This window comes from Homo sapiens, chromosome 5, assembly GCF_000001405.40.
Source record: "Homo sapiens chromosome 5, GRCh38.p14 Primary Assembly".
In the NCBI taxonomy this organism is placed as follows: domain Eukaryota; kingdom Metazoa; phylum Chordata; class Mammalia; order Primates; family Hominidae; genus Homo; species Homo sapiens.
In genome coordinates, this window is record NC_000005.10 from 62,258,221 (window position 1) to 62,273,440 (window position 15,220).

Here is a 15,220-nt window from a genome sequence, read left to right on the forward strand (position 1 = left end):
AGATATGTTCTTAGGTGACAGGGTAGTGGAGGCATCTAGGAGGACTTTTCCAAAGATGGTCTCAGCAGGAGCTGAGTTTTGAAGGATGAATACGAGCTAGATGAAGGGAGGATGAGTAGGAAGGGGAAGGAGCTTCATGCTAAGGGCAGAGGGAACTGCATCTTTCTCAGGCACTGAAACATGGCTCTGCCTAATGCGTTTATGTCCAAGGCACTGGTAAAGTAGACACTGAAGAATGATTGACAATGAGACTAGATAGACAAGGCCTCATATCATTAGGGACTTTGCATGCCAAGTTGGAAACCACGGAAAGATTTTAAGCAGTGACATAGCATGATCAGATGGTAGAAAATGATGTGTTTAAGGAGGAAGGTAATATGACGATATCAAAAACTTCAAGCCACTAATGGAAGAAGGGATAAGAGACAGTGGAAAGAAAGAAGTGGAATGACTCAAGCTGTTTAAAAGGGAGAATCTCAGCCTGGAAAACACAATGAGATCCCACCTCAACAACAACAACAACAAAATTAGCTGGGCATGGTGGCATGCACCTGTAGTCCCAGTTACTTTGGAGGCTGAGGTGGGAGGATCCCTTGAGCCCAGGAGTTTGAGGCTGCAGTGAGTTGTGATTGCATCACTGCACTCCAGTCTAGACAACACAGCAAGACCCTGTTTCTAAAATAAAATTTTTAAAAAGAGAGAGAATCATCTAAGCTCTTGGGACTGCTTGGATATGAAGCAAGAGTGAGAGGAAGAAATCTAGGATGCCTCCCTGATTTCAGGCTAAGACCACAGGATGAGTAGTGGTGCCATTGAAGGCCACAGGACCACTGGAGGATGAACAGGTTGCCATTGTTGGTTGTTTTCATTTTGGAGTGTTTTGGATGAAAGGATGTGAAGATAAAACATTCTATTCGGGGGTGTTCTTGTTTTGAGAAACTATATGGCTCTGAAGCTCCACAGCAAGGTCTGAACTGAAAACTCAAAAACTAGGCATAACCAAGACATTAGCAGAGGTTGAAGATGAGTGTATCTATGAAAAATGAGTAAAGGTAGATGAGCAAAGTCAAGGACAGAATCTTGGGATACACCATCATAAGGCAGGCACCAGACACAGATTATAAAGGAGCAACCAGAAAAATAGAAAGAAAAATAGAGCTTAATTTTTCTTTGAAATCAAACAGAGAAAAGATTTTCAAGAAAGAGGAGTTTACAGTGAGTGTCAGATGCTGCACTGAAGCCAAGAAAGATTTAGGAAAAATAAAAACTTATTATTTTAGCAGTGCATTTTCGTATGTTGAAAAAAATTAAGTTTCTGGAATATAACTAACTGATAATTTTTAATGTGGTCATTTAGTACTGAAAGTCATCATGGGGCTTTAATTCAACATATATTATGTTCTCAAATGATGGCTGAAAGATCATTCCCTGAAAAAGGTAGAACCGTTTGATAAATGGTTCTGTTTTTATGGTGTCACCAGTTGGTTTTTCTAGAAGCAGATGACGAGACATGCCTAGGTAGAATCTGGGGTGTAAGATATTTATGAGAGATCAACACTGGAGGGAAGGGGAAACAGGGAGGGCTGTAGGATGAGAATGTGCCATACCATGCTACAATGTCTGGGCCTTTGTACTTCATCTCACATAGTCACTGGATGTGGACTATGTGACTATGGAAGGGCATGACATCAGGAGGTGACTCTATAGCTGAGACAGACCCTGAAAGAACAAACAGCTGGAGTGCCCACCCACAGCTGGGCAGCAAGTCCTCCTTTGAAGGAGATCTGGCCTGTGTATCCTATTTCAACATCATGCAGCTTGCAGCCATGGCCACATATGGTGTAAGCCACATGAAGCTGAAATGTCAGAGCCTCATCCAGCTATGATTACTGCTTGTTGAAGTAGCCAACTATTAGTTCTTTGCTCCTGTATCAGCATTATAAAGCTATTTCTCTGTCATTACATATATGAAACAATTTTCCAAGGCAAGAAAACATTGAATTACGGTCCCATCACATTGGTTATGTGGGTGTAAAAACCTGGACTAGACAAGAATGTTGTAATTACATTTACTTTTGGAATTAAGTGCTGGATGTATTTTATAACTAAGGCAAAAGAAGAAAATAAATTTAAGTATAAGGCAATAAAGCAGTTGAACTGTTCCAATAATATCTAAAACAAAGTTTTGGTTACATAGCTTGAGAGGACTGTCAATTAATAACACTTTTCCAAAAAGTGCTCTATAATTGCAGAGCCCTGAGAAAATAGAATGAAGCAATCATATTTGGTTATATGTTGCATTTATACCATTTGATATCTCCTCCTTTGCAAAATAAATTTCCCCTTGCCAGCTGTAATTAGGCACTGAGATAAAACTGCCTTAATATTCTGCATATTTTATTAGGGCTGCCAGCAGCTGTCGGATCACTGGCTCTGTTCTCATGTACAATGAAAACATCAAAGACATCTGTGGTTTGCCCTAAAATTAGTGCCAGAATTGGCCTTCTCTCCATTGTGTAACCAGCTTTGCTATTTGCATAACTAACAAGGGAACCTCCAGACATTGCTGCTCGGTTCATGAGGGAAAACTACGAAAGGCAGACTTTGGAAAGTGGCCGGTACGGCTTGTCCCCATAAGGCTTAAGTGCATGGGGTTTGGAATCACACAGACCTGGATCCAGGCTTCAGTTTTTACCATTTATCTGTGACTTTGGGCAAGTTATTTCTCAGCCATATTGCCTTTTTTGTTATAATGAGAAATAGTATTTATTGTTTTGAAGAAGAGTTAAGACAATGTATGTAAAGCATTAGCATGTGCCCAGGCCTCCTGGGAAGCACTCATTAAGAGTTAGCAATCTTCAGCCTGGTGCCGTGGCTCATGCCTGTAATCCCAACACTTTGGGAGGCCAAGGCAGGTGGATCACAATGTCGGGAGTTCAAGACCAGCCTGGCCAAGATGGTGAAACCCCATCTCTACTAAAAACACAAAAAATTAGGTGGATGTGGTGGTGGGCACCTGTAATCCCAGCTACTCAGGAGGCTGAGGAAGAGAATTGCTTGAACCCAGGAGGCAGAGGCTGCAGTGAGCCAAGATCGCACCACTGCACTGCAGCCTGGGTGACAGAGTGAGACTCTGTCTCCAAAAAAAAAAAAAAGAGTTAGCAATCTTCCTTCTTTCATCTAGTGCCCTTTTCTAAGAAGTCATAACTACAGTGGCTTTAAAACACACATTTCCTTGTAAAGCAAAGGTGCAAAGAATTCTCCACTCAGTTTAAAATCGCAAATATGTCACAAACACACATGTGCACACACACAATTGTCTTCAGAATTCCCAAGTTACAGAAACCTCTTAAAGTTTTCCCTAGCAAACACTGGGTGTCCTTTTCACTACTGTTTAGCATTGTGAGACAGGCTTTAAAACTTTACCTCCTTCTTAGAACCACATATTTACTATCAAGTCACTATCAGGTGAATTGCAGTGAATATTCTGGAGAACATATCAGATAGTTGGCCTTTAACTGCAAGTAACATCTTGGCTAGACTGCCTTAAACAATAGACATTTCTTATCTCACAAAATAAGTTCACAGACAGGCAGCTCCAGGGCTGCTGTGGTCAGTGACTCTGCAGTTGACCACGGATGCAGGTGCTTCCCAGCTTTCTGCTCTGCCGTCCTCCACATGCAGATTTCATCTTCAGGCTAGCTCCCTCATGGTCACAAAATGGCTGCCATTTATAAACAGTTACAGCTGGTCTTTCCATGTCTCTTTTTAAAAAGAAGGAAACCGGCCAGGCGCGGTGGCTCATGCCTGTAATCCCAGCACTTTGGGAGGCCGAGACGGGCAGATCACGAGGTCAGGAGATTAAGACCATCCTAGCTAACACAGTGAAACCCCGTCTGTACTGAAAATACAAAAAAAAAATTAGCCGGGCGTGGTGGCGGGCGCCTGCAGTCCCAGCTACTCGGGAGGCTGAGGCAGGAGAATGGCATGAACCCGGGAGGCGGAGCTTGCAGTGAGCCGAGATCGCGCCACTGCACTCCAGCCTGGGCGACAGAGCGAGACTCCGTCTCAAAAAAAAAAAAAAAAAAAAAAAAAAAAAAGAAGGAAACCTATCTCAGACGCCTTCTGGTTTGTGCGTTCTCAAGTCTCAGTGGCCAGAACTGAATCATATATCCATTCATGAACCAAACAGTAGCAACGGAAATGGAACTGCCATGACTGACTTCATGAAGCACACAGCAGTATGCAGGAAGGTTTCATGAGAACAAGGACCAGGTTCACCTTGCTCCCCATTGTATTCTCCATATCATCATAAACGGCACATAGGAGGTATTCAGTAAATGTTTGTTGAATAAATGAATGAATAAAATGATACAAAAATAAATAAGACACTAGGCATACTGCAATAGGACTCCTGTCCCTACAGTCTCCTAATATTTACAACTAGGGCTGTCTAATGACCTTCTTCCACAGCCTCTAATTTCAGTGCTGTTGTTAGCCCAGGAGACTAAGGAACACCAGGTCAGTTGCTTAATGTCAAAAAAGCCTTTCTGATTGTTCTGCAATTATCATAATGTCTTGGCTTTTTCCTCTACAATGCAGCTCTTTCTGGATATCCCAGAACCTACCACTAATAAATTAATTTCATGGTACTGAATTTCAACCTGCCTATTGCTGGAAGTTAACACTGCCATCAGACCTCCCCAGAGGTAGCAGCATATGGAAAACGCAATGCCCTCAGACAGGAGCATGTCTTAAAAAGACACCTGTCTGGAAGGTGGATGGTTGATCTAGAATGTTCACTCTGTACACCAAAATCATACTCATAGTTGTCAGTTCAGATTATATGTGATCCTGCTCCCTATGATCATATCTACAAGAATTAACTTGAAATTTTATTAAAAATAGCTATAGGACTATTTGAGAATTTAGCCCACACTAAGAAATAAGACCCACATACAGTTTATAATATAGTCAATTTTAACAAAAAAATAACTATTAGGATTCTCATGTTAACTTTCAATTTTTTATCCTAAGGATTTAACAAATCCTTTTGGCAGATATTGGCTAGGGAATGGTGTCTGTTCTTGTCTAGTTATCTTTTCCTTTATTAATGGATAGTTTCTGCTGATTCATTTCATCTCTGCAGGAATGATTACTTTCTTGAATTGTAGTGGCCAATGTCAATTGTAGAAACTATTCAATTACTGGTTTTGGTTGTTTTTTATTTTTGAATCTAAATTTTGAGCAAATTCAGACAAAGTCCCCACCAATTGATTTCTAAGGAAACTTTGGTTTTTACCAGGAAATTTCTGCAAAATGTCTGCTACCAGTGAGCTGTTTACCTTGGAGTTGTATCTATATTTGCTCAACCCTACAGCTCTTGATGCTCAAGGACTCTGCTACTGCCTTGCTGTCCTGTTTGTGCTGGATGATTAGATGAGTTCTAAGGCCTGCTAGAGGCAAGAAGAGTAGAAGTACAACTTTCAGACTGAGCCCAAGCTGAATAAGATTCTTCCATTGGTATATATGGATTTTATGATACATTCTGAAGGGTACCATTAAACTTATCCCATTTAACCACTTGGAACCAACAACACATCAGTCTAGTGGTTTCCAAATCTGGCCTAAGAATCTCCTAGAGAGACTTTAGCTAAGCACAGATACCCTCTTATCCCCACCAAGACTGGAAACCAACAATCTTTTGGATAATATCAGTTTTTATGTTTACCATTTAAAGTAATTAAACAGCTTTAATTTTTCAGGTTTCATGTTAATCACCATTTTAATAAAAATACTTATTTTATGAATGGATTTTATAAATTATAAGAATATAAACAGATTTTATAAATTATAAGAATTTTAAATAGATTTTATAAAATAAATGCACATGGCCGGGTGTGGTGGCTCACGCCTGTAATCCCAGCACTTTGGGAGGCCGAGGCAGGCAGATCACCTTTCAGGAGTTCAAGACCAGCCTGGTCAATGTGGTGAAACCCCGTCTCTACTAAAAATACAAAAATTAGCCAGGCGTGGTAGCGGGCACCTGTAATCCCAGCTACTCGGGAGGCTGAGGCAGGAGAGTTGTTTGAACCTGGGAGGTGGAGGTTGCAGTGAGCCAAGAACATGCCATTGCACTCCAGCCTGGGCGACCAGAGTGAGACTCTGTCTCAAATAAATAAATAAATAAAATAAACGTAAATAACATAAAAATAAATGTACATTATATTTTCATTCTTCTTGACCATTTTTATGTATATGGAAGGAAGTATAAGCTGAAGTACACTTTTTGGAGAATGAATTGACAAGAAGTGTCAAATTTAAAATGTTTAGGCCATTGAAGCCCAGTAATTTCTATTCTCAGAATCAACCCTAGAAAACTCCCTGTAGAAGTGTGTATGGGTGTTGTAGTATTTAGGGCAGTCTAACAAAAACTTTTTAAATCTCAAAAACCTCAGTGGCTCATTATAATAAATGTATGTTTTGTGTTCATGTCACCAATGCAAGTCAGCAGGGGCGCTCTGCTCACAAAATCATTTGAAGATTTGTCTTGTGACTCTACCTTTCTCTAGATCCTTGGAGTCACCTCTATTAAGTTGAAAATGGGGAGAGAACAGATGGAGGATGGTACCAGAGATTTCTTTCTATGGACCAGGTCCAGAAGTGACAAGCATCACTCCCATTCACATTCCTTTACAGAACTTGATCACAAGGCTACCTGTAAGGAAGCCTGGGAAATGTAGACCAGCTATGTGTCCTGGAGAAAAGCGAAGTGTGGTGAACACTGCCATAGGGAATTGAAGGAAGATGTTCATCACAGCATTGTTTATGAAAGCAAAACACTGGAGAAAACCTATGGGTTCATAAACAAGGCATGGTTGGGTGAGTTACAGCACATCAATATTACAGAATATGAAAGCCATGATTAAACAGAAAGTGGTAGCTCTGCACACACTAATGTGGAAGAATGCCTGTATTATATAGATGGGTCAAAAAAAGAAAGGTTGTATGATAGTGGGTCTGGTATGGTACAACTTTTATTGTAATTTGTCATTACATATAACTGGAATGTAAACAACCTAGCCTCAAGATAGGGTCTTGTTTTAAAAAAATTAGCCTTATCCACACAATGGAATGCTATGCAAATATTATTAAAATAAACAGCTCTATATATGCTGTACTAGTATAGAAATATCTCCAAGGTAGATCATTAAAAGTACAAGATGCTGAGCAGTGGATAAAATATGCTAACTTTTATGTAAAATGAAAAGGGTGTATATTTACATATATTTACATGAACAAAGAAGATAAGAAACACAGGAAATGTTTTGGGAGAGGAGAACTGATTACAGGAACAGGAAAACAAAATTTGGAGTAGAACAGGCACATATTTTATAATAGTTAACCTTTTGTACCTTTTAAAATTTTGCTGTGTGAATTAACTAGGCAAAATCTGTTTTAAAAACACCAGTCCTTGGTAAGAAGTGGCCAGGCAATTAGATGGAGAGGTGGTGAATCAAGACCTTTATTTTAGCCATGTGGCTTTCAGATATCCATTAGCCAGCCAAGGGGTGCAGTTGGCCATAGTAGTGTGGATCTCAGGAGAGAAGTCTGGGCTAGAAATAGAAATATAGGAGTTTTCAGGGTTTAGATAGTATTAAACTTATAAGAATGGATGAGATGACCTAGGGAGAGTGTAAATAAAGAAAAAGGGCCTAGGGCCAAGCCTGGTTCTGCAAGATAATGCAGGCCCATGACCAAAAGCTTGGAAAATATTACTAAAAGCACTAAATAAATAAAAATCATCTCTAATCCCACTCCCTAGAGATTGCATCTGTTAACATTTTGGTACATTCCCTTCTAGTCCTTTTCTGTGCATCTAAGAATATGTTACTAAGTACCTCCTTATATAAAAATCTGTATGTATTGTAAGAAAAAGAAAAAAACCCAGCATTTTAACCACCCAGAGTACTTGAAAATGAAATACAATTTTTACAGTAGGCTTATGGATCATTAAAGAGCATTCCATTTATAATCTGTAGCACATGTCTTGAAAATCCCTTTTGTCCATCTCCCTCTCTCTCTCTCTCTCTCTCTCACACACACACACACACACACACAAGTACATACAGAGAGAGAGACCAGCAGCAGTAGCAGCAACAACAGTGACAGAACTCAATATTCTTCCGCTTTCTCTAAATTCCCCAACCTCTCTTTTCCTTTGTAGACAGGTCTCTGCTATCTTTTTCCATCCCTCCTCCTGCCTCCTAAAATATATTCTTTAGGAAATGTTATGTTGGATATCCTCCAGTTATCCTTCTAGTCTTATTCTCTATTCTGCTCTGTGGCCTGCATGGGTGACCTAGATGGACTGTCTTGACAGGCCCCTTTGCCTTCTGGCTTCGGATTGAGTTGGGCCAGTGGGGAGCCTTGGCAGAGGAAGGTGGACGGGAGGAGAATGGAGTCAAGTTGGTTTTGCTCCCCTGAATCCTGCTATGCTGAGTTGTCAGCACAGCTCCTATTAGGGTGACGCTGACCAAGTTCTGGTAACAGGCCCCACCCCTTGCCCCATGAGGTCTAGGAGAGGTAAGAGCCCCTGGTTGTTATTGGCCCTAGGGCACTTCAGCAGCTCTGTTGGCTTCTTTAAATCCTGTCCACCCCTTTATCCTTTAATTACGCTCTTCTTAGTGACCCCTGCCCAAATATACTATCTGTTTCCTGCTAGGACTTTACTGATAACAAATATCTCAGGCACCTTTAAATTATACATCTCCTTTAACTTATTTTCTTCGTCACCACAACCAAAAACCTGAATTCCAAGTAGGCAAAGACATTTTTGCGAATATTACATCATAGTTTTTTATCCTATAGGAAACATTAATACAGATAGTATGGATACATTTTCATGTGCGCAAAGAAAATCTGTAAGGAGTGTTTAATCCTAGAGAGTTGGTGATGGGGTAAAAAGGAGAGATGAGTTTTCACTCTTTCCTTTATGCATATATTATTTGATTTTTGATTTCAATAAGCAGGTACTACTTCTGCAAAAAAAAATATGTATTTTTTTTTAAGGAATGAAATACAGATTCCAGGACCCTACCCCTAACAACCCTGAATTTGCACTTGCTCTGCAGCGCCTCTGTGTGCATTTGTGTAGGTTGTGTCCTGCATGTGGGTTCCAGTTGATGGAAGCCAACATCCAGACTACAATGTACTTGCCAACCTTTGAGACCTGTCATAGAGCCCCAAAGCACCTTAAGACCAGTGGCAGTCCTGCTCTTCCTTGCCTGTTTCTGTGCTAATTTTCTGCCACTTGGAATGACTATTGCCTCTGCTGCTTCTATCAGGGCAGAAAACTGAATTTGGGGCTTGAATTGGAGCTATGCTGATGATACTTGGACTTGCCTATCTTTTTTCTACCCCACACTTTGTCGCTCAAATCTCCACTTTCTCAGCCCTGTTCTAGGGTTCTTTATTAGCACAGATTTCTGGCCTCAAATTTTTCTGATCTGGCCCATTTCATTGTTCCCAAGTCTCAGGCTTGGAAACTGCAATAATTCTCTTAGGCCTTCTTGCCAATGTTTAAGTAGCTTCTTTGCCACTACCCAAGTTACTAGGAGTCATCTAATCTGAATTTAACTTGATTTTCAATCTCTATTCATAGATTTCAATTCAGAGATCTTTGTTTTTTTAATCAGCTTCCATCTGGAAAGACATTAGATTTTCCTTGTCTTTAATGGTCATGACATATGTCACTCAATCACCTCAGCCATTTCTAAAACAGTTCCATCGATCCCTACCCTGACTCAGCAACCTGACTTTTTAATAAACTATTCTATTTTGAACCACATGTTAAAATTTTGAAGTGTTTTTAAAAGCCAAATATATAAGAATATTATATATGTATATTTTTTAAATAAGAGAATATACATTAAGATCTCTTTACTTAAAATGAACTTTTTAAAAATGATAAATACTATATATCCGGCTGTCTCCAAATTCCTAAAGTTTTCAGAAGCGAGCTGAGGTTCTGCTGTGTTTTACAGTACTACTCTCTGGCACAGTTCCATCTCACTCTCCTTAAAACAAAGGGGATGGGCCAGGAACCAATCACATCTCCTTCCAGTCTGTGATTCACCTGCTGAAGTTGCTCCACCACTTCTGGAAGCTCAGATGTCAAATAACAAACTAAGGCTCCATTTACCTTTGGTTTGGCAGACTCATATTCTATTCTCTTGCCCTCCCACTCAGGAGCAAGATTTAGTTACTCATTAATTTTAAGGGGGTTTCCTAAGAGACACAAGGAAAGATTTCCTGGTGATGTGGGCTGACAGCTATAGAAGCACTAACAAGAGAAGTTGTAAAATCTCTTCCCTGGGAGTCTTTATGAAAAGCAAAACCACATGGGTCTTGTTGAGAGAAGAATTAGAAGTAGGTAGGAGACTTGAAAGGGGTAAAGTGTCATATAATTCAATGATTTTGTAGTAACAGATGGGCTACTAATTTAAAATAAGAAGCAACAAGCAATTAACAGAGTTGGTGATTCCCAAATTCCATGGGTCTTTTAACCACGGATTTATGCTAACTACACTCCCACCTTCTTCAGGCTTAATAAGATTTCAGCCTGAGTTGCAGTGCTGTATTTACCATTACACAAATAGCAAGTTGAACTTGCTATTTAATATCTGATAATAAACTATCTCCCTTCTCCCATTTGTTCTACTCTTTGGCAGAACACAAAAATGGTCTGATGTGGGTAGAATGTAGGATGTGGTTCTTTATTGCTCAAGTTCCCCTCTGCACACTCGCTCTATTTTTCTTGTATAGGAAAAGGATGAGCCATGAATATATCTTGTCCAAGTCTCTTATTAAATCAAAACAAAGTTCAGCTTTGGCACAAATGCAATCAGTTTCCATACTTGACTTCTCCATACAACTGATTGTGGCAATCACATGCTTTTACTAAATTGTTGCCATCTAATGAAAATAGCAATAATCCTCATCTTTACCTATGAGATCAAACATTTTTTCATTCATATGTTTTGTAGGTTAACTTATGTTAACCCCATCACCACTATGTGCAAATTCCCATGCAGAGCCATACATGTGCGCTTTTCTTTTAGGAATTTTGTTATTTAAACTGCTGGGTGTCATTAACAGATGAGTTTTTGAAATTTTTTTTTAATAATATGTTGAGTTTCAAAAGCCAGGTAACCACTGAGAAGAATCAAGTACTGCAAACCATAGTCACCTGTGGCCCCTCCATCTCTGGTTCTCTTCACTTGAATTCATATCAATGCCCCAGCAGAGATGTGTGGCTATATTTATTTATTGTACACTGAGGTTTTTTTATTTTAAAATTCATAGTAGTATAATATTCATTTATTGACCATCTAGTATATGCCAAACACTATTCTAAATACTTGTTTTATCTCATTTAAGTCGCATAATAACCCTAGGAGATAGTATTCCTGTTATCTCCATATTACAATGAGAAAAAGGAGCAGAGAAATTGAGTAACTTGCTCAAGGGAGAAAATAGTGGAGCCAGAATTTGCACTGAGGCAGTGAGAGTCTAACAACCAAGGTTCAAGCTTTTATTATCGGATGGGACTTTTGTGTACAGAAAAGCATATTTACAATTACTAATATTTTGTTTAGCATGTAGTTTATTTTAAATGTAACTTTAAAAATATGTTTTTCTTAATAATTTTATATCAAATAAGAACAATCATTTGTATTTCTTTGATTAATGCTCAAATATCTCTTACATTTGAAAACTCAAACTCCTGTAAATGTTTAGCTATGTAAACATTTGATTAATCAGATTTTCTTAGGCTCCTAAATTATAATGACAAACTCTTCAATCACTTTACAAGTCAATATAAGAAAACAAACAAAATCTTTCTTTTAAGCAATTGTATAAATGTGATAAACCAGATCTTCAAATTTAGAAGCTCAAATCCTCTTAAGCCTAAAATGCAAACAGAATATACAAAAGCGATTTCATTGCAAGCCTAGTTCTTAAATATAACATAAGAATATTGAACTACAGGTTCTGGGCTTATCAGTTCATTGTTCTATACCTTCCTGGTGTTTTACCTAAGCAAAGGTAACAAAGTTAGCCCTTTAAGATCATGACCCAGACTACTTGTCATAGGGGCATAGAATGCCCCCTTTTTTATTTTTTATTTTATTTTATTATTATTTTTGAGATGGAGTCTTGCTCTGTTGCCCAGGCTAGAGTGTAGTGGCACAATCTCGGCTCACTGCAACCTCCACCTCCCAGGTTCAAGCAATTCTCCTGCCTCAGTCTCCCGTGTAGCTGGGATTACAATCATGCGCCAGCACACCCAGCTAATTTTTGTATTTTTAGTGGAGACGGGGTTTTGCCCTGTTGGCCTGGCTGGTCTTGAACTCCTGACCTCAGGTGATCCGCCCGCTTGGCCTCCCAAAGTGCTGAGATTACAGGCGTGAGCCACCGCGCCTGGCCAGAGTGCCCCTTATTGTCTTTCAAGAATAAGCCAGTAAATGTTGTGATGAGCCTGTTTATGGTCAGATTGCATCTCACATTTAGACTTCCTAAACCTATGCCCTTCTGACTTAAATAACCACATACGTTTCCACTTCTCGTAATCCTCTGACTTTCCCAAAATACCCCATCCCTTAAAATACTGGGGGCTTTCCAGGCCTCAGGTTTTGATTCCCTTTGGATTAATGAGAAACTTTTTCATTAAAACCCGGGTAATAATGAAAATTTTGAACCTATTAGTCAGACTTTAATCTCTTTTATTTTTATCTTTCTCATCAACCATCATTTTATGGTTACATTTCCCCTTTTTCTCACAGCCCTAAGAATCTTCCTATGCTTTCTGTAGCATCTCTACCTCTGAGAATGAATTTCTACCCATACTTTATTACATAGCAAAATATGTCATTGGAACCCTTCTTTTTCATTACTAGATGTGTCACTGTTGGATCAGGCTGTCCTTACACGAAGGGTGGACCTAAATTGTCCTGTTCAGAGTTCTACATAGAACCAGCAGAAAGTGTCTTCCCCATCAAGGTCAGAGCAAAAACATGCTAAGAGACATTCACAAAGATCATGAATGTGACCCAAAAGTCCCTGGCCCCAGCCTGTAACTAAGATACAAGATCAAGCCAACTGACAAAGGAACAAGCCACTTCAGCTTCATTGCTAGAAACTAGCTCTCTTCAAAGTATCCACCAGCTAGCTAGCTCTGTGTTTCCCAAATATTGTCTCTTAAATGTGCTCAGGCGCACAACTTGGTATTTGGTTTCTTAGTTTTCCTACCATGCTGCAGCCTGAGTGATAAGGGCCTCAAGACTGACCTGCCTCTGAGCACCAGTGAGTCTCCCCTACCACCATTATGGCCTCAGAAGAGGAGACCCATTTCCTCCTCATCTCTACCTAATTCCTCAAGTGTGGGCACAATGAGAGGGAGGAAAAACCCAGCAAATTTTGATATCTTCCATTAGAAGTGGCAACTAGAGATCACAGAGGTCTAATCTCAGGAATGTAGCCTGTTTCCCTAGCAAAGGTCAGCTCACTTCTCCCCTCAAGAATAATCCAAAAATTTCCACAACTTAGATTCCCAGACAAAATGTCAAGTTCAAAAAATAAAACAGAGATTTCCCTTTCTCCCCAGCCTTAAGCCCACCTCCCAGGTCCTCATTTTCTGCCATGAAACTGATTCTTTGCTGGATGATGCACTCTCTTCAAGGCATCACTGCTCTTACACCGTAGCCCCCAAAAGACATCAGAGCCATCGTTGTCCACCATCAGCACGCTTCCCATGATCCACACACTCCACTCTTAACATCACCATGTCAGTGCTACCTACACTAAGCTGTGCTACACCAAGGCTCCCCCAGGGGGACTCCCCCAACAAAAAGTTAAAATGTCAGCCCTAAGTATATTTTCTGCAGTTTTGGAGGACTCCATTGCAACTATCCTGAAGGAAAATTCTTTGACATGACACACACACATACATACACAATACCTCTACAAGAACAAGAAAAAATAAATAAGCACTATGCTTCTAAATTCAAATAGAAGGAAATAAAATTTCCAAAGAAGTATCTTCTAACATGTAGTCTCTGTAGGACTTATTAAAATACTGATTTTTGGACACCATGCAAGACCTGATTGTATAAGAATCTCTGGTGGCAGGGCCCAGGCAATCAATATTTTAAACAAAACGTCCATTAACTCTTCTGTATACTAAGGTTTGAGAACTACTACTCTGAGGGCAGCCCCATCTATAACATTTGCAGTGTCTGGGCAAGAGGGCCCTGACCCACCCCTCTTCTTCCATCCAGCTCCCATACCTCAAGGGGCCTCACCTGTAGTCACCCCTCAATTTGCTCGTTTAGGCTCTGTCCATATATCCCTAGGCCTAGGGATATTATCAAGAAACCAGACTCAGTAAAGAGGCCTGCAGAGATCCTTGGAGCAGGCTCAGGGATGTTTGGGCAGGAAATTAAAGGGTCCTTGACACCCAAAACATGGTCAAGAAATTGGAAAGCAGGCTCCAGTAAGCATGCCCCCATCGCCCCGCAGACTTCTCACCCTATGGGGAAAGATAGGCTGGAAGGTCAGTATGCAGGCCTAAGTCCCATTTCTAAGGGAATTGTCAGTGATGGAGACATGGGTTTCTAAACAGAGCTGCTCTGTTGGATGCATCTGTTCCTGAGTTACCCCCCTTCATTACGTTTTTTTCCTATGAACAATGAGAAAGAATTTAATTTGCTTTATAGTGGAGGTTTCTCCAAAATAAAAGAGCTATCTGTCCCGGAGGTAAGTTTAAGTCTCAACCCTTAAAACAAAAACAGAAACAACTACAACTAAAAAATGACAATTTTTTACAGCTACCATACTGTCAGGGTTTCCCCAAAACACTGAGGTTTTGACAAGAGCACCCCATTACCCCACAGCACCCCATAACCTGAACTTAAAACATTCTAAAGTCAAATGAGATTTAAGAGGTTGAAATGCATGATGGATAGTCTCTGTCTTTGATGACATGAAAACTTGATACTGTTGATACCCAGGAACAGATATTGGGCTCTACAATGAAGGACAACGGAAAGTCTTGAAATAGCGAATTATTTTCTTTTTTTTTTTTTTGAGACGGAGTCTCGCTCTCGCCCAGGCTGGAGTGCAGTGGCGCGATCTCGGCTCACTGCAAGCTCCGCCT

The 15,220-nt window shown here is 40.0% G+C and overlaps 2 annotated features.

The window, feature by feature from the left end:
• Positions 3,359-3,816: a transcriptional cis regulatory region, noted in NCBI's record as "candidate enhancer chr5.1488 targeted for multiplex CRISPR interference". NCBI's record gives its function as "positively regulates KIF2A gene expression with high confidence in K562 cells {active_cell/tissue: K562}" and the evidence as "EXISTENCE:mutant phenotype evidence [ECO:0000015][PMID:30612741]".
• Positions 13,082-13,376: a silencer, noted in NCBI's record as "tiled region #4645; HepG2 Repressive non-DNase unmatched - State 23:Low". NCBI's record gives its function as "represses a minimal TATA promoter and a strong SV40 promoter by Sharpr-MPRA in HepG2 cells {active_cell/tissue: HepG2}" and the evidence as "EXISTENCE:reporter gene assay evidence [ECO:0000049][PMID:27701403]".